The sequence below is a fragment of the Homo sapiens genome, chromosome 3, assembly GCF_000001405.40.
Source record: "Homo sapiens chromosome 3, GRCh38.p14 Primary Assembly".
Classification (NCBI taxonomy): domain Eukaryota; kingdom Metazoa; phylum Chordata; class Mammalia; order Primates; family Hominidae; genus Homo; species Homo sapiens.
Window position 1 is genome coordinate 128,942,919 of NC_000003.12, and position 19,899 is coordinate 128,962,817.

General features: G+C 49.1%; 1 protein-coding gene across 9 annotated transcripts in view; it reads right to left on the reverse strand.

The window, feature by feature from the left end:
- The window catches only part of CFAP92 (cilia and flagella associated protein 92 (putative)), a 116,876-nt gene that overhangs the window by 33,046 nt on the left and 63,931 nt on the right, over nucleotides 1-19,899 (reverse strand). For 7 of the 9 annotated variants that reach the window (XM_011513050.3, XM_047448638.1, NM_001348520.2 and 4 more), the window contains one exon: nucleotides 2,153-3,057. In XM_011513050.3, the coding sequence (XP_011511352.2) occupies nucleotides 2,153-3,057 (905 nt within the window). The remainder of the gene's footprint in view (nucleotides 1-2,152; nucleotides 3,058-19,899) is intronic. The other 2 variants (XM_017006945.2, NM_001348521.2) reach the window with 1 other exon arrangement.

The following is a 19,899-nucleotide window of genomic DNA, read 5'->3' on the forward strand; positions in this document are numbered from 1 at the left end:
TTTTTTTTTTTTTTTTTTTTGAGACGGAGTCTAGCTCTGTCACCCAGGCTGGAGTGCAGTGGCGCGATCTCACTCACTGCAACCTCCACCTCCTGGGTTCAAGCGATTCTCCTGCCTCAGCCTCCTGAGTAGCTGGGATTACAGGCACACGCCACCACAGCCTGGCTCATTTTTGTATTTTTAGTAGAGATGGGGTTTCACTTGTTGGTCAGGCTGGTCTTGATCTCCTGACCTCGTGATCTGCCTGCCTCATCCTCCCAAAGTGCTGGGATTCCAGGCGTGAGCCACTGTGCCCGGCAAAACTCAACCTTTTAAAGCGCATGAATGAGTGGTTTAGACTACATTCACAATGTTGTGCAGCCATAAACACTATCTAGTTCTAGAACATCCTCCACATCCCTAAAGGCAACTCTGTGCCCACTGGCAGTGGCTCCCCGCTTCTCTCTTGCCCTCCCGAGTGGTTATCCCTGGCAACCACCGGCCTACCTATCTCTATGGATTTGCCGGTTCGGGACATTTCACAAACACAGAATCATACAATATGTGCCATTTTGTGTCTGGCTTCTTTGACTTAGCATAATGTTTCAAGGTTGAGATATGTGTATCAGTATTTCATTTCTTTTTTTTTTTTCTTGAGACGGAGTTTCGCTCTTGTTTCCCAGGCTGGAGTGCAGTGGCACGATCTCGGCTCACCGCAACCTCCCTCTCCAGGGTTCAAGGAATTCTCCTGCCTCAGTCTCCCGAGTAGCTGGGATTACAGGCACGTGCCACCATGCCTGGGTAAGTTTTTCTATTTTTAGTAGAGACAGGGTTTCACCATGTTGGCCAGACTGGTCCCGAACTCCTGACCTCAGGCAATCCTCCCGCCTCAGCCTCCCAAAGTGCTGGGATAACAGGTGTGAGCCACCGTGCCTGGCTTTCATTTCCTTTTATGGCTCAATTATTCTATGGACTTATTATCTTTTGTTTATCAGTTGATAAACATTTGGGTTATTTCCCCCGTTTTTTTTTTTTTTTTTTTTTTAATTTGAGACAGGGTCTGGCTCTGTTGTCCAGGCTGGAATTCAGTGGCGTGATACTGGCTCACTGCAACCTCCGCCTCCTGGGCTCAAGTGATTCTCCCACCTTGGCCACCCAAGTAGCTGTGATTACAGGCATGAGCCACCATGCTTGGCTAATTTTTGTATTTTTTGTAGTAACAAGGTATCACTATGTTGCCCAGGCTGGTCTTGAACTCCTGGGCTCAAGTGATTCCAGGATCACCTTAGCCTCCCAAAGTGCTGGGATTACAGGCGTGAGCTACTGCACCTGGCCTGTTTTCACTTTTTGACTATTATACATAATGCTGCTGTGAACATGTGTGTACAAGCTCTTGTGTGGACATATGTTTTCACTTCTCCTGGGCTTATAATAGATACAAGGCCAGCTTCTCCCGGTGCCTCTGGGCCCATCAGCACAGGAAGGCAGGTCTCCCAGAGGTGCAATCCCCTTCTGGGCAGACAGCCTCAACTCCGGGACTCCCCACTGCATCCAAGTGGGTCCTGGGGCATCTGAACTCTGAGGACAGATGGGGGCCCTCCAGACTAAAGGACGGAGATCCGATCTACCCAAACTAGTATACTTGCAAATTGTGAAAGGAAGGGAGAGGTGTCATGTCACCAAAACTAAAAAATGGAGGAACTGCAAAGGGCTACCCGCTGCAGCCCAGAATTGGACACTTTAATTATTCACTTCTAGTGTTCCCACTGAGTGGCCCCCAGGTACCCTGAAGGCCTTCAGGGAAGGGCAATTTCCTGCAGCCTAAGCAGCCCCTCCATCTTCAAAATGATCTTCCCTGGGGCAAGGTGAAATCTAATACAGAATATTCTGCTCCTGTTTAGCCACAGTAGCCCTTGGCTCAGAACCCTGAAGACAGGCCCCACTCTCCTGGACCCCTCAGTCATCTTAGATACTCCCGAATTCCTCCCTGGAACCAAAGCCAATCGAGTCTTCAAGTCCAATGACTAAACCCTGGTAAGTACCTCACAATGAACCCCGAAAGGAGACTCACAGACAAGGATGCTAAACCTAGGCTTGGCTCTGAAAGACCTCTCCACTCCCTCGGCATCCAGATGCCATCATTTTTATGTAAAATGTAAAACAAACCACCTACCAGCTTTGGTGGTTCTCCCACAGCTGCCTCAAGCCTTGGTCGGCCAGGCCTTCCAGGATGAAAAGGTGTGTCTTCCCGTCCAGCAGGTGGAAGCCAGTGAGCACATCCAGGTGCTGCTGCTCCTGGACCCGCACACGCACCTTGAAGGCTGACAGGATCTGCTGCAGGGTCCTGACAGGGTAGGAGTCCAGGCCGAGGGCCTTAGCGTTGATCATGGTGATGTCCTGCAGCAGGCTGTGGAGCAGGGAGACCTTCTTAAAGTCAAAGACGAAGATGATGCGGCCAAACTGGGAGCCCCCAAGGTCAGGATCAGCAGCTCTGGCCCCGGCCCTCAGTGGCACCGCGATGTCCACTCGCAACTTGAGCTGGGAGTCAGCCTCTAGGTAGTTGCCCCTGGGCATTGGGCCGTGCTGGTGGCCATCTCTGGGGACCCCAAGCCCCACAACCTTCCTTCTCCTGCTGTCCTGGCCGCAGTGTGTGGGCTGAACCTCACAGCTGTGGATGGGGACGGCCAGATTCAAGTACTTGTGGCCAAGGAGGAGGTCAGCAAAACTGACCTGGGCGATGCCATAAGGGTACCACATCTTGTTCTGGGACTCAAAGGGGTTGTTCTCTGTCTCTCTGGGAGAGATGAGGGCCTGGAAGTTGAGGTATGAATCCAGAGGGTCCTCCCCAAACAGCACGGGCTTCTGAGAACACTCCTCTGACTTGCGGTCCCGGTCGTGAACTTCCACCACCATGGGGGGGCCCTCCAGGTATTCCCTTAGGTCACTGGGGTGCAGTGCCCCAAGGAAGATGACGTTGATGTCCTGGAAATAAACGTGGGTTCCATGGGGCTCCCCCTTGGTCTTGTGAACTGGAGTCTTATGGAACTGGTACTTGCAGTACACAGGCATGCACAGCCTCTACGAGAGAGCAGGGCCACAGCAGGTCACCCAGCCACAAGGACAGTCACTCAGCCCCAGCATGAGGAGCTCAAATCCCAGTGCCAGGCTCATTGCCTGTCCCTGTAGCCCAAGTTTTCTCATCCACAAAATATCCATAAGAGACACTACTGTGCAAGGTCATTACTAGGACTGCAGACATCATGCATGTGAACGCACCAGGATGGCGACTGGCATGAAACAAGGACTCAAAAAGCATTCGTTACTTATTTTCCTCCCAAAATGTGAGTGCCATGAAGATAGGCCATGTGTCCTTTTTCATACCTGTACTTCTAGTTCCTATCCCGAGGCTGGGCACAGAAAAGGTACAGAGAAGTGATTTTTAGAAAGGAAATCTCTGTTTTCCAAATATATATCTGGGGGTCGACACAGACCCCTTTAGCAGAGCCACAGGTGCCAAGCTGAAAACTGACACTCTGGGCAGGAGACAGCCTCAGAGAGGTCTGGGCCTCAGAGAGCACGGAGAACAGGGTGGAAAGGAAGAGCCAAGCTATGCTGAGGCAGAAAGCAGGGACATTTGCATGGTTTGACCTTGGTGCTGAGATTTTATCATCACAAATTAAGCCTTACACAAGTCTGTGGTCTGAATTCGTAATCTAAAGGCACTATTTATTTTACACGGAAGCTGAGAATTTATTCTAAAATAATCCCGGATTGGCGGTGCTCCCAGAGCAGTGGGCAGAGACACAATACCTCTGGAGATAGTCACTTTCAACCTAGGCCTCAAAGAATTCCCATCAAGAAAGTTCCATTGAACACGAGATCATGGTAAAAATCACAGAACACGTAAAGACAAAGGCACTACTAGTGAAATCAGATGCACCAAGGCATAAGATATTAGAATGATCAGAGATATAAAATAAGGATATAAGTTTAAGAAAAGAAAGAATATAATCAAGGTAAAACCTATTGTATTTCTATTTATTTGTAACTGGCTTGGCACAGTTGAGAAAGCCAAATACCAACCACACAATGGAGAAGCTGAGAACCAACCAGATTTTCTCTGTAAAACTCTCAAAAGACTTGGGAATGGCAAACCTAGTATCTCTGGAACTGGCAGTAAAAAGGAACGGCTGGAGCAGGGAGGACTGGGTGCAAGTTCCTTAAGAAGCAATCAGATCCCTAGGTGTCCCCCCAGTGGCTCGGCAGAAGTCTACTAGTTTGCTCTCCATGCAAAATGTAAATAGGGGGTCCTGAAAACTTCAAAGCACTGATGAAAAAAAAAAAAGATGTAAATAAATGGAGAGATGTACTATATACATAGATTGGAAGACAATATAGCAAAGATGTCAACTCTCCTCAAACCAATCAGTTTATAGGTTTACAAATGTAATGCAATTCCAATCAAAATCCCAGCACAACTTTTTGTAGATATTGATAAACTGATTCTAAAATTTGTATAGAAGAGCCAGGAAACTGGAAGAGCTAAAACAATGTTGAAAACTAAAGTTGGAGGAACCACTTCACCCATTTTTACGACTTACTACAAAGCTACTATAAGCAAGACAGTGTCGTGTTGCTGAAAGGACAGACACAGACCCACGGATCAGAAAAGAGAAACCGGAAACAGATCCACACAAGTATGGCTAATCTATGTTTATCAAAAGTGCAAAAGAAAGAAACTTCAACGTAAACCTCACACCATATACAAAAATTCATTCAAAATTGATCAAAGGCTGGGTGTGGTGGCTCACACCTTTAATCCCAGCACTTTGGGAGGCTGACGCAGGAGGACTGCTTGAGGCCAGGAGGTTTGAGGTTTCAACGAGCTACAACTGCACCACTGCACACCAACCTGGACAACAAATGAGATTCTGTCTCAAAAAAGAAAAAAATTGATCGAAGATATAAATGTTAACTATAAAACTATTAAAGCATTGAGAAGAAAACAGAAAAAAAAAATCCTTCTGACCAGGGGTTAGGCAAAGAGTTCTTAGATGTGACACAGAAACACAATGCATACATGAAAAAAAATGTATAATTTGGACTTCATCAAAATTAAAATTTTTGCTCTGCAAAAGACACTGTAAAGAGAATGAAAAGATGTGCTTGTCACAGATTGGGTTAAAAATAAAAGAGAATGACAAGACAAACTACAGACTGGGAGAAAATATTAGCAAATAATATATCCAACAACAGACTTAAATCCAGAATGTGTATGTAAACACACATTTATTATATATATATATTTATGGTGAGACAGGGTCTTGCTCTGTTGCCCCGGGCTGGAGTGCAGTAGTGCAATCATGGCTCACTGCAGCCCCAACCTCCCTGGGCTCAGCTGATCCTCCCACCTCAGCTTCCCTAGTAGCTGGGACTACAGGTGTGTGCTACCATGCCCCACTAATTTTTCTTTTCTTTCCTTTTTTTTTTTTTTTTTTTTTTTTTTTGTAGAGACAGAGTTTTACCATGTTGCCCAGGCTGGTCTTGAACTCCTGAGCTCAAGTGATCCTCCTGCCTCAGCCTCCCAAATTGCCAGGATAACAGGCGTGAGCCACCGTGCCCATCCCGGAATTTTTTTTTTTTTTTCCCTGAGACAGGCTCTCGCTCCATTGCCCAGGCTAGAGTACAGTGGCTCAATCTCAGCTCACTGCAACCACCACCTCCCCAGTTCAAGCAATTCTCCTGCCTCAGCCTCCTGAGTAGCTGGGATTACAGGCACGCGCCACCAGGCCTGGCTAATTTTTGTGTTTTTAGAAGAGATGGGGTTTCACCATGTTGGCCAGGCTGGTCTTGAACTCCTGACCTCAAGTGATCCGCCCGCCTTAGCCTCCCAAAGTGTTGGGATTACAGGCGTGAGCCACCGTGCCCAGCCTAGAATATATATTTTTTAAAACTCCCAAAACTCAGCAGTAAGACAGTAAACAACCCAACTGAAAAATGAGCAAAAATTTGAGCAGAAATTTCACCAAATGGGATGTAAAATGGCAAATAAACACATCAAAAGATGCTCAACATCATTATCCGTCAGGGAACTACAAATTAAAACCATGATATGATAACAATACAAACTTCTTAGACTGGCTAAACTTAAAATACTGACAATACCACATTCTGGAGAGGGTAGGGAGCAACTAGAACCCTTGTTCACTGCTGATGAGAATGCAGAGTGATCAGCCGCACTGGAAAATGGTGGGCAGTTTTTCATAGTCAGGCATATACTTAACATATAGCCTAGCAATTTCATTTGTTGGCATTTACCCTAAAGAACTGAAAACTTATGTTCCTATAAAAACATGTGTACACTGTTTTTAAGCAGCTCTATTCATAATTACCAAAAACTAGAAGCAACCTAAATGTCCTTTGATGAGTGCACGAACAAACTGTGGTACACCCTTGTGATGGAATACTGCTCAGCAATGAAAAGGAAAGAACTACCGATAGATGCGGCCACTTGAATGAATCTGAAAGGCATTACCTTGAGTGGAGAGGCCATGCACATTGTTATCTGCTGAATCAAAGGTTACAGCTGCATGATGCTGCAAAACACAGAGCCCCATTTACATGACATTCTTCCAGAGTTAAAACTATAGTCATAAAGAACACATCAGTGGCTGTCAGAGGTTATGTGTGTGAAGCAAAAGTGATTATGAAGGGCGAGTACAAAGGAGGGGTTTGGGGTAACAGAACTGTATCCTAACTGTAGTGGTGATAATATTGATCTATACGTGATTTTATTTTATTTTTCTGAGACAGAGTTTCTCTCTCATAGCCCAGGCTGGAGTGCAATGGCGCGATCTTGGCTCACGGCAACCTCTGCCTCCCAGGCTCAAGCAATTCTCCTGCTTCAGCCTCCTGAGGAGCTGGGATCACAGGCACGTGCCACCACGCTCAGCTGATTTTTGTGTTTTTAGTAGAGACAGGGTTTCCCCCATGTTGGCCAGGCTGGTCTGAAACTCCTGACCTGAAATGATCCACCTGCCTCAGCCTCCCAAAATGCTGGGATTACAGGTGTTAGCCACTGCACCTGGCCTGATCTATACATAATTTTAAATTTATAGACCTATAAACCAAAAGATAAACATCAATTTTACTGTAGAAAAATTTGTTTTTTAAAAAAAATAACAGAGGGTCTCTGGAATAGGGGATAGTTGAGGGCATCTGTGCCGTTCCCAAATAGGGAGATTAGGTGACCAAATGCTCACTGCTTAGTGCAAATTCCCAGCTCCTTTCTGTCTGTGGGCATTCAGAATGCAGCAGGCTAGACCCTGACCCCCCAGGCAGGGAACTAGGAAAGCCCTGTAGAACCCAGGGGTTCCCACCAACGCCCCACTCAGATCACCCGATGGTGAAGCTCAGAGCTGAGAAGCCCACCGTGCACCCAAAGCTCGCCTTTTAGGTCTGTGCTCTCTCAGCCATGAGCAGTGGGCCAGGGGATTAACAGACAGTGGAGGAAAACGTCTGACCTGGAAGGTGGAGTGAAACAAACAGGAAGATCAACCTAAAGGAAGCGGACTACACACGTGACGACAGTGCCCATGAAGCAAGCTGGAAGTGCTGTGTCCCAGGCCCCCGACACCCTCAAGTTCAGTGATTCGCTAGGAGAACTCACAGAACTCAGCATGGGTGCAGCGCACTTGTGTCTGTGATTTATTACAGCAAAAGAGACAAAGCAAACAACAAAGGGGGCAGGCACAAGCTGCTGAAGTCCTCTCCCAGGGGATACACACAGGGGGTGCTCAACTCCTCCCTGATGCAGTGCAGCAACGTGTGAAATGCTGTCCACTGGGGAAGCCCATGAGGGACTCACTGCCTAGGGCTTTTGCTGAGGCCTGGTCACATAGCACCCCCTGCCTAGCATGTATGAAAATCTCAGCCTCCCAAAGGGAAAGCAGGCATTCAGCACAAACGATACTGTTTGCAAAAGCCATTTAGGCACAGTGAGCCATTCTTAACGGGGAGTGCGGGGAACCCTCTCAAAATGCAAGTTCCCATATACCAGCCTGGGTCAACTCTGCAAACAGGACTTTTTAAGGACGGTAGTCTCAGGCCCACTCTGTTCACTCTTTTCTGAACATTTCCTAGAAAAAGGATCAATTAGGAGAGAAAGAACAATAAAAACAAGTAGAAGATAGCTGGGTGTGGTGCCAGGCACCTGTAATTCCAGCTGTTCAGGAAGCTGAGGCAGGAGAATTGCTTGAATCTGGGAGGCAGAGGTTGCAGTGAGCTGAGATCGTGCCACTGCACTCCAGCCTGGGTGACAGAGCGAGACTCCATCTCAGAAAAAAAAAAAAGGAAAGCCCAGGAGAGTCAGCATCTAGCTAACAGAGTCCCAAAAAGAAAGGGGGAAAAAAATGAAGAAATAATCAGTGAAATAATTTAAGACAATTTCCCGGTGCTGAAGGATGTGGGCTTCTAGGTTGAAATGGCCCACTGAATCCCCAGCTTCACGGGTAAAAATACACTTACAGAGTTCCTGTTCTGGATCAAGATGGAATAGACACACTTCTAGTTCTACTAAGTACAGCTTTAAAACTCTGCAGGTTGTATATATAAAAAAAAAATACAAAGACTTTGAAAAGTACAGAAAAGGTGTTTAGGGAACATGGGATCCTGGGTCTTCTATTTGCCTCATATATTCCGGACTGAGTGCTGGAGAAGGCAGTATCCAGAAATACCAGTGAGAGTAGGCAGAAAGGACCCCAAGAAAAGTCTGCTTTCTCCATATCAAAGACGAAGAAAGGGACAACTCAGCAGAACAGCAAACTTTTAGGCAAATAACCTCCCTACCCCAGACACACACCATGGAAAAAATCATGCCCCACCCCAGAAACAAAGGCTACATGGGAAGCCTGGACTTCTACCCTCACTGACTTTAACTTGGTGCTCCTTACCTCACTGGGGTAGTGTCAGAAAAGACCTGGTGGGGAGCCAGGACTTTCCCCAACCCTCAATGGAAATGAAGCCTCCCATCATGTATCAGTGAAGTCCACAAGAGCAGTAACAAGATATCCCTACCCACAGGGTACAGTGGCCAAGTGGGGAACCTGGAGTCTCACCTGGCAGTATTGAGATGGTAACTCTCTCATCTCCCCCTCCACAGGCCTGCTACACATGCAGTTTGGTGTTGGAGAAGGCCTGCTACACATACAATTTTTTTCTTTCTTTTCTTCTTCTTCTTCTTTTTTTTTTTTTTGAGAGACAGGGTCTCTGTCATCCAGGCTGGAGTGCAGTGGTGCAATCATAGCTCACTGCAGCCTCAGCCTCCTGGGTTCAAGCCATCCTCCCACCCCGGCCTCTTGAATAGCTGGGCTACAGGTGTATGCCACCACATCTAGCTAATTAAAATAAAAATTAAGAAGGGATCACACTGTGTTGCCCAGGCTGGTCTTAAACTCCTGGGCTCAAGTGATTCTCCAGCACCCAGCTTAAACGTAAGATTCAAATAAGATACAGTCTCATAATGTAATACTCAATATATCCAAGATAGAATTTTTAAAAAATCACCTGTCATACCAGAAAAATCAACTTGAATGGGAAAAACCAATGAACAGACACCAACACTGAGATGATACAGATCTTGGAATTATCTGAAAAGGAATCTGAAGCAGTAATGAACATGCTTGAAACAAATGAAAAAATTAGTTGCTCAGCAAAGAAACAGGAGATATAAAGAATAAACAAGGTGTGGTGGTGCATGCCTTTAGTCCCAGCTGCTCGGGAGGCTGAGGTGGCAGGGTCACTTGAGCTCAGGAGTTCAAGGCTGCAGTGAGCCATGATAGTGCCATTGTACTCCAGCCTGGGTGACAGAGCAAGACAAGACCCCATCTCTTAAAAAGAAAGTAAATAGGCCGGGTGCGGTGGCTCACACCTGTAAATCCAGCACTTTGGGAGGCCAAGGGGGTGGCTCACGAGATCAGGAGTTCAAGACCAGCCTGACCAAGATAGTGAAACCCCATATCTACTAAAAATACAAAAATTAGCCAGGCATGTTGACAGGTGCCTGTAATCCCAGCTATTTGGGAAGCTGAGGCAGAGAACTGCTTGAACCCAGGATGCGGAGGTTGCAGTGGGCCAAGATGGCACCATTGCACTGGGCGACAGAGTAAGACTCCAACTCAAAAAGCAAAACAAAACAAAAATGGAAATCTTAGAACTGAAAAATACAATAACTGCAATAAAAAAACTCAATAGATGGACTCAATGCAGAATGGAATGTACAGAGGAAAGAATCTGTAAACCTGAAGACAAAACAATAGAAATAGAAATACCCAATCTGGGCCGGGCGCGGTGGCTCACGCCTGTAATCCCAGCACTTTGGGAGGCTGAGGTGGGTAGATCACGAGGTCAGGAGATCGAGACCAGCCTGGCTAACACGGTGAAACCCAGTCTCTACTAAAAATACAAAAAATTAGCCGGGCGTGGTGGTGGGCGCCTGTAGTCCCAGCTACTCAGGAGGCTGAGGGAGGAGAATGGCATGAACCCAGGAGGCGGAGCTTGCAGTGAGCCAAGATCACGCCACTGCACTCCAGCCAGGGCGACAGAGCAAGACTCTGTCTCAAGAAAATAAAAAGAAAGAGGGATAATCACTCGCTTAAGAAGCAGCAACACGGTCTCCCTCTCCCTCTCCCTCTCCCTCTCCCTCCCCCTCTCCCTCTCCCTCTCCCTCCCTCTCCGTCTCCCTCTCCCCACGGTCTCCCTCTCATGCGGAGCCGAAGCTGGACTGTACTGCTGCCATCTCGGCTCACTGCAACCTCCCTGCCTGATTCTCCTGCCTCAGCCTGCCGAGTGCCTGCGATTGCAGGCACGCGCCACCACGCCTGACTGGTTTTGGTGGAGACGGGGTTTCGCTGTGTTGGCCGGGCCGGTCTCCAGCCCCTAACCGCGAGTGATCCGCCACCCTCGGCCTCCCGAGGTGCCGGGATTGCAGACGGAGTCTCGTTCACTCAGTGCTCAATGGTGCCCAGGCTGGAGTGCAGTGGCGTGATCTCGGCTCACTACAACCTCCACCTCCCAGCCGCCTGCCTTGGCCTCCCAAAGTGCCGAGATTGCAGCCTCTGCCCGGCCGCCACCCCGTCTGGGAAGTGAGGAGTGTCTCTGCCTGGCCGCCCATCGTCTGGGATGTGAGGAGCCCCTCTGCCCGGCCGCCCAGTCTGGGAAGTGAGGAGCGTCTCCGCCCGGCCGCCATCCCATCTAGGAAGTGAGGAGCGCCTCTTCCCAGCCGCCATCACATCTAGGAAGTGAGGAGCGTCTCTGCCCGGCCGCCCATCGTCTGAGATGTGGGGAGCGCCTCTGCCCCACCGCCCCATCTGGGATGTGAGGAGCGCCTCTGCCCGGCCGAGACCCCGTCTGGGAGGTGAGGAGCGTCTCTGCCCGGCCGCCCCGTCTGAGAAGTGAGGAGACCCTCTGCCTGGCAACCACCCCGTCTGAGAAGTGAGGAGCCCCTCCGCCCGGCAGCTGCCCCGTCTGAGAAGTGAGGAGCCTCTCCGCCCAGCAGCCACCCCATCTGGGAAGTGAGGAGCATCTCCGCCCGGCAGCCACCCTGTCCGGGAGGGAGGTGAGGGGGGGTCAGCCCCCCGCCCGGCCAGCCGCCCCATCCGGGAGGGAGGTGGGGGGTCAGCCCCCCGCCCGGCCAGCCGTGCCATCCGGGAGGGAGGTGGGGGGGTCAGCCCCCCGCCCGGCCAGCCGCCCGGTCCGGGAGGTGAGGGGCGCCTCTGCCCGGCCGCCCCTACTGGGAAGTGAGGAGCCCCTCTGCCCGGCCAGCCGCCCCGTCCGGGAGGGAGGTGGGGGGGTCAGCCCTCCGCCCGGCCAGCCGCCCCGTCTGGGAGGTGAGGGGCGCCTCTGCCCGGCCGCCCCTACTGGGAAGAGAGGAGCCCCTCTGCCCGGCCAGCCGCCCCGTCCGGGAGGGAGGTGGGGGGGTCGGCCCCCCGCCCGGCCAGCCGCCCCGTCCGGGAGGGAGGTGGGGGTGTCGGCCCCCCGCCCGGCCAGCCGCCCCGTCCGGGAGGGAGGTGGGGCGGTCAGCCCCCCTGCCCGGCCAGCCGCCCCGTCCGGGAGGTGAGGGGCGCCTCTGCCCGGCCACCCCTACTGGGAAGTGAGGAGCCCCTCTGCCCGGCCAGCCGCCCCGTCCGCGAGGGAGGTGGGGGGGTCAGCCCCCCGCCCGGCCAGCCGCCCCGTCCGGGAGGGAGGTGGGGGGGGTCAGCCCCCCTGCCCGGCCAGCCGCCCCGTCCGGGAGGGAGGTGGGGGGGGTCAGCCCCCCTGCCCGGCCAGCCGCCCCGTCCGGGAGGTGAGGGGCGCCTCTGCCCGGCCGCCCCTACTGGGAAGTGAGGAGCCCCTCTGCCCGGCCAGCTGCCCCGTCCGCGAGGGAGGTGGGGGGGTCAGCCCCCCCGCCCGGCCAGCCGCCCCGTCCGGGAGGGAGGTGGGGGGGGGTCAGCCCCCCTGCCCGGCCAGCCGCCCCGTCCGGGAGGTGAGGGGCGCCTCTGCCCGGCCGCCCCTACTGGGAAGTGAGGAGCCCCTCTGCCTGGCCAGCCGCCCCGTCCGGGAGGGAGGTGGGGGGGTCAGCCCCCCGACCGGCCAGCCGCCCCATCCGGGAGGGAGGTGGGGGGGTCAGCCCCCCGCCCGGCCAGCCGCCCCGCCCAGGAGGTGAGGGGCGCCTCTGCCCGGCCGCCCCTACTGGGAAGTGAGGAGCCCCTCTGCCCAGCCACCACCCCGTCTGGGAGGTGTGCCCAACAGCTCATTGAGAACGGGCCAGGATGACAATGGCGGCTTTGTGGAATAGAAAGGCGGGAAAGGTGGGGAAAAGATTGAGAAATCGGATGGTTGCCGTGTCTGTGTAGAAAGAAGTAGACATGGGAGACTTTTCATTTTGTTCTGCACTAAGAAAAATTCCTCTGCCTTGGGATCCTGTTGATCTGTGACCTTACCCCCAACCCTGTGCTCTCTGAAACATGTGCTGTGTCCACTCAGGGTTAAATGGATTAAGGGCGGTGCAAGATGTGCTTTGTTAAACAGATGCTTGAAGGCAGCATGCTCGTTAAGAGTCATCACCAATCCCTAATCTCAAGTAATCAGGGACACAAACACTGCGGAAGGCCGCAGGGTCCTCTGCCTAGGAAAACCAGAGACCTTTGTTCACTTGTTTATCTGCTGACCTTCCCTCCACTATTGTCCCATGACCCTGCCAAATCCCCCTCTGTGAGAAACACCCAAGAATTATCAATAAAAAAATAAATTAAAAAAAAAAATAAAAAAAAAATAAAAAAATAAAAAAAAAAAAAGAAAATAGAAAGAAAAAAAGAAATTACCCAATCTGAACAACACAGGGGAAAAAAGACACAAAAATCAAAATCAGAACTTCAGGGCCCTGTGGGACTAAAACAAAAGAACTAATATTCATGTCATTGGAGTTTCAGAAGGAGAGGAGAAAAAAGGTGGTGCTGAAAAGTATTCCAATAAATAATGGCTAAAATTTTCTCAAATTTGGCAAAATACATAAGCCTATAGATTCAAAGAGCTGAGAGAACCCCAAATAAGATAAACACAAAGAAATCCACACCAAGACATGTCATAGTCAAACTTCTGTAAATTAATGACAAAGAAAGAAAATCTTGAAAGCTGCAAGAGATAAATGCCACCTTACTTATAGGGAAAAAAAAGTAATTTGAATGACAGCAGATTTCCCATCAGAAACTGTAGTGGTAAGAAGAAAGTGGTATAACATTTTTCAAGTGTTAAAAAAAAAAATCCAGCCAGGCACAGTGGCTCACACCTGTAACCCCAGCACTTTGGGAGGCCGAGGTGCGTGCATCACCTGAGGTCAGGAGTTTGACACTAGCCTGGCTAACATGGTGAAATTCTGTCTCTACTAAAAATACAAAAATTAGCCAGGCATGGTGGTGCATGCTCATAATCCCAGCTACTCAGGAGGCTGAGGCAGGAGAATCACTTGAACCCAGGAGGCAGACGTTGCAGTGAGCCAACATCATGCCACTACACTCCAGCCTGGGTGACAGAGCCAGACTCTCTCAAAAAAAAAAAAAAAAAAAAGAAATCAACCCCATTCTATACCAATTCTATATCCAGTAAGACTATCCTTCCAGAATGAAGGAAAAATAAAAACACCCTGAGACAAAGAACAACTAAAAGAATTTGTTTTCAGCAGATTTATCCTAGAAGAAAGGCGAAAGGAAGTTCTTGAAACAGAAAGGAAATGACAAAAGAAGTCTTGGAACATTAGAAAGGAAGAAAGGATAATGGAATAAGTAGAACCACGGGTAAACAAATACACTTTCCTTCAACCCTTGAGTTTTCTAGGTTATGTGTTATGTTTGACAGTTGAAGCAAAAAGTATAACATCATCTCATGTGGTTATCAATCTATGTAGAGGAAATATTTAGGGAAACTAAAGGGGTATGGAGGGAGGTAAAGTTTCTATATTTCACTCAAACTGGTAAAATATTGATACCAAGAGATTGCGAAAAGTTATGTTATGCGTTAAATATAATATCCAGAGTGCCACTAAAAATCTATACCAAGAGATATAAATTCAAAAATACTACAGATAAATCAAAATGGAATTCTAAAAATGGGTCAAGTAACCCACAAGAAAGCAGGAATAAAAACCAAGAGAAACAAAAAAACAGAAGGAACAGACAGAAAACAAAAATTAAAATGGTAGACTTAAGCTCTAATATATCAACATTTACTCTAAATATAATGGTCTAAATACGTCAATTAAAAGGCAGAGTAAATAAAGAAACATGACCAAACTACATGCAAGGCCATTATCCTGGAGTGGGGGAGAAGGCCAGTCTCAAAAGGTCACATGCTGGATGTTTTCATTTATATAACCACACCAGTTTCCTACGAAGCGCCATAAACTGGGGGGGGGCTTAAAATGACAGAAATTTATTGTCTCCCTGTTCTGAGGCTAGAAGTCAGAAATTAAGCTGTTGGCAGGGCCACATTTCCTCAGAAGGTGCTCAGGAAGGTCCTTCCTTGCCTCTTCCAGCTTCTGGTGGCCCCAGATGTCCCCTGGCATGTGGCAGCATCCACTTTCCATGTGGCGTTCTCTGTGTGTCACTTTGCATAGTCTTCCCTCTACGTGTGTCTGTCTCTGGGTCCAATTTTCCCCCTTTCATAAGGATACCCTAATGACCTCATTTCAACTTGACTACCTCTGCAAAGACCCTCTTTCCAAATAAGATCACATTCTGAGATACTGGGCGTTAGGAGTTCAACATACCATTTTTTGGAGGAACACAATTCAATCCTTAACAATAACATTTTCAAATTGACAAAAGTATAGAGATAGCAAATTAGTGGTTAGGGATGGTGGGTGTTAGGGGTTGTTGTGACTATAAAAGGGTAGCACGAAGGAGATCTTTGTGATGATAGAATATTTCTACATCTCAAGTGCTGTGACAGTTACATACATGTACAATAAAATGGCACAGACCTATATACACATTAGACTCATGTCAATGTGCTGATTTTGATATTGTGCTATAGTTATGAAACACCTAATTACTGAGGAAATTGGACAAAGGATACATGGGACCTCTCTGTACTGTCTTTGCAACTTTCCGTGAATCTATATTTTAAAGTATGACATATGTATATGGACATACTCACACTAAGACACACAAGCAGTTTCAGAAGACAAAAAGGGCTGGCACTGTGGCTTACACCTATAATCCTAGCACTTTGGGAGGCCACGGCAGGAGGATCACTTGATCCCAGGAGTTCAGGACCAGCCTGCGCAACATGGCAAAACCCTGTCTCTACAAAAAATACAAAAACTAGCTGGGTGTGGTGGCGTGTGCCTGCAGTCTCAGCTACTAGGGAGGCTAAGGCAGGAGGATCACCTGAGCCCAGGAGGTTGAGGCTGCAGTAAGTTATGATCACACCACTGCACTCCAGACAGGGCAGTGGAGTGAGACCCTGTCTCAAAAAAATTTTTTTAAAAAAGGAGACAAGGTTGGACGCAGTGGCTGACACCTGTAATCCCAACACTTTGGGAGGCCAAGGCAGGTGGATCACCTGAGGTCAGGAGTTTGAGACCAGATTGACCAACATGGAGAAACCCTGTCTCTACTAAAAATACAAAATTAGCCGGGCGTGGTGGCAAATGCCTGTAATCCCAGCTACTCGGGAGGCTGAGGCAGAAGAATCGCTTGAACCCAGGAGGTGGAGGTTGTGGTGAGCTGAGATTGCACCCCTGCACTCCAGCCTGGGCAACAAGAGCAAAATTCTGCCTCAAATAAATAAATAAATAAAATAAAAAAGACGACAAAAAGGATTTTATAAGCATTTGGAGAAACAAAAAACAGTTCGCATACAAAGGTTCAACTTCAATGAAAATAAAAGATGATGGAACAATGCCTTCAAAACTCTGAAGGCAAATGATTTTTAGCCTAGAATTCTATATGCAGCCAAACTACCAGTCATGTGTAAGGATAAAAAAAGGTAGAAAAAAATATATCTGCAGACATATGAGATCTCAAAAATAAATCTCCCATTGACCTTTTCTCGAGAAGCTACTAGAGGATGCACTCCAGCAAAACCAGACAGCAAATAAAGGGAGAGAATTCAGGAGACAGGGATCCAACCAGAAGAGGGAACAAGGAACTCACAGAATAAACAGCAGTGCTGAACCTGGTTGGTTCACAATGAGTGAGCATCCCGCTGGCAACTGCCACAGGAAGAGGGAAGCCTGGGGGCTCCTGAAGGGAGGTTCATGACCTGCATGTGAAGAGCACCTGCGGCATAGTAGGAGACCTCAGGACTGGTCACACCTAATCCCAGGAACCCCATCTCTTTTGTATCTCACTGTGGGATCCTAAATGGTAAAATACAGGTGATAACTGTCAGGCCTCTGAGCCCAGGCCAGGCCATCACATCCCCTGTGACTTGCACGTATACATCCAGATGGCCTGAAGTAACTGAAGATCCACAAAAGAAATAAAAACAGCCTTAACTGATGACATTCCACCATTGTGATTTGTTCCCGCCCCACCCTAACTGATCAATGTACTTTGTAGTCTCCCCCACCCTTAAGAAGGTTCTTTGTAATTCTCCCCACTCTTGAGAATGTATTTTGTGAGATCCACCCCTGCCCACCAGAGAACAACCCCCTTTGACTGTAATTTTCCATTACCTTCCCAAATCCTATAAAACGGCCCCACTCCCTTCGCTGACTCTCTTTTCGGACTCAGCCCGCCTGCACCCAGGTGAAATAAACAGCCATGTTGCTCACACAAAGCCTGTTTGGTGGTCTCTTCACACGGACGCGCATGAAATGTGGTGCCGTGACTCGGATCGGGGGACCTCCCTTGGGAGATCAATCCCCCGTCCTCCTGCTCTTTGCTCCGTGAGAAAGATCCACCTCTATGACCTCAGGTCCTCAGACCGACCAGCCCAAGAAACATCTCACCAATTTCAAATCCGGTAAGCGGCCTCTTTTGACTCTCTTCTCCAACCTCCCTCACTATCCCTCAACCTCTTTCTCCTTTCAATCTTGGTGCCACACTTCAATCTCTCCCTTAATTTCAATTCCTTTCATTTTCTGGTAGAGACAAAAGAGACACGTTTTATCCGTGGACCCAAAACTCCGGCGCCGGTCACGGACTGGGAAGGCAGCCTTCCCTTGGTGTTTAATCATTGCAGGGACGCTCTCTGATTATACACCCACGTTTCAAGGGTGTCAGACCACGCAGGGACGCCTGCCTTGGTCCTTCACCCTTAGCGGCTAGTCCCGCTTTTCTGGGGAAGGGGCAAGTACCCGTGAACCCCTTCTCCTTCACCCTCAGCGGCAAGTCCCGCTTTCCTGGGGCAGGGGCAAGTACCCCTCAACCCCTTCTCCTTCACCCTCAGCGGCAAGTCCCACTTTCCTGGGGCAGGGGCAAGTACCCCTCAACCCCTTCTCCTTCACCCTTAGCGGCAAGTCCCGCTTTTCTAGGGGGCAAGAACCCCCAAACCCCTTCCCTCCGGGTCTCTATGCTCTCTTTTCTCTGGGTTTGCTTCCTTCACTATGGGCAACCTTCCACCCTCCATTCCTCCTCCTTCTCCCTTAGCCTGTGTGCTCAAGAACTTAAAACCTCTTCAACTCACACCTGACCTAAAACCTAAATGCCTTATTTTCTTCTGCAATGCCGCTTGACCCCAATACAAACTCAACAGTAGTTCCAAATAGCCAGAAAATGGCACTTTAAATTTTTCCATCCTGCAAGATCTAAATAATTCTTGTCGTAAAATAGGCAAACGGTCTGAGGTGCCTGACGTCCCGGCATTCTTTTACACATCAGTCCCTTCCTAGTCGCTGTGCCCAGGGCAACTCCTCCCAAATCTTCCTTCTTTCCCTCCCGCCTGTCCCCTCAGTCCCAACCCCAAGCATCACTGACTCTTTCTAATCTTCCTTTTCTACAGACCCATCTGACCTCTCCCCTCCTCACCAGGCCGAGCTAGGTCCCAATTCTTCCTCAGCCTCCGCTCCTCCACCCTATAATCCTTTTATCACCTCCCCTCCTCACACCTGGTCCTGCTTATGGTTTTCATTCCGTGACTAGCCCTCCCCCACCTGCCCAGCAATTTACTCTTAAAAAGGTGGCTGGAGCTGAAGGCATAGTCAAGGTTAATGCTCCTTTTTCTTTATCCCAAATCAGATAGCGTTTAGGCTCTTTTTCATCAAATATAAAAACCCAACCCAGTTCATGGCAGCAACCCTGAGACGCTTTACAGCCCTAGACCCTAAAAGGTCAAAAGGCTGTCTTATTCTCAATATACATTTTATTACCCAATCTGCTCCCGACATTAAATAAAACTCCAAAAATTAAATTCCGGCCCTCAAACCCCACAACAGGATTGAATTAACCTCTCCTTCAAGGTGTACAATAATAGGAAAAAGTTGCAATTCCTTGCCTCCACTGTGAGACAAATCCCAGCCACATCTCCAGCACACAAGAACTTCCAAACGCCTGAACCGCAGTGGCCAGGTGTTCCTCCAGAACCTCCTCCCCCAGGAGCTTGCTACAAGTGCCAGAAATCTGACCACCAGGCCAAGGAATGCCCGCAGCCCAGGATTCCTCCTAAGCCGTGTCCCATCTGTGCGGGACCCCACTGGAAATTGGACTGTTCAACTCACCTGGCAGCCACTCCCAGAGCCCCTGGAACTCTGGCCCGAGGCTCTCTGACTGACTCCTTCTCGGCTTAGCGGCTGAAGACTGATGCTGCCCGATCGCCTCGGAAGCCCCATAGACCATCACGGACGCCGAGCTTCCGGTAACTCTCACAGCGGAAGGTAAGCCCGTCCCCTTCTTAAGCAATACGGAGGCTACCCACTCCACATTACCTTCTTTTCAAGGGCCTGTTTCCCTTGCCTCCATAACTGTTGTGGGTATTGACAGACAGGCTTCTAAACCTCTTAAAACTCCCCAACTCTGGTGCCAACTTAGACAATACTCTTTTATGCACTCTTTTTTAGTTATCCCCACCTGCCCAGTTCCCTTATTAGACCGAGATATTTTAACCAAATTATCTGCTTCCCTGACTATTCCTGGACTACAGCTGCATCTCATTGCTGCCCTTCTTCCCAATCCAAAGCCTCCTTTGCGTCCTCCTCTTGTATTCCCCCACCTTAACCCACAAGTATAAGAGACCTCTACTCCCTCCTTGGCAACTGATCACGCACCCCTTACCATCTCATTAAAACCTAATCATCCTTACCCCGCTCAATGCCAATATCCTATCCCACAGCACGATTTAAAAGGATTAAAGCCTGTGATCACTCGCCTGCTACAGCACGGGCTTCTAAAACCTATAAACTCTCCTTACCATTCCCCCATTTTACCTGTCCTAAAACCAGACAAG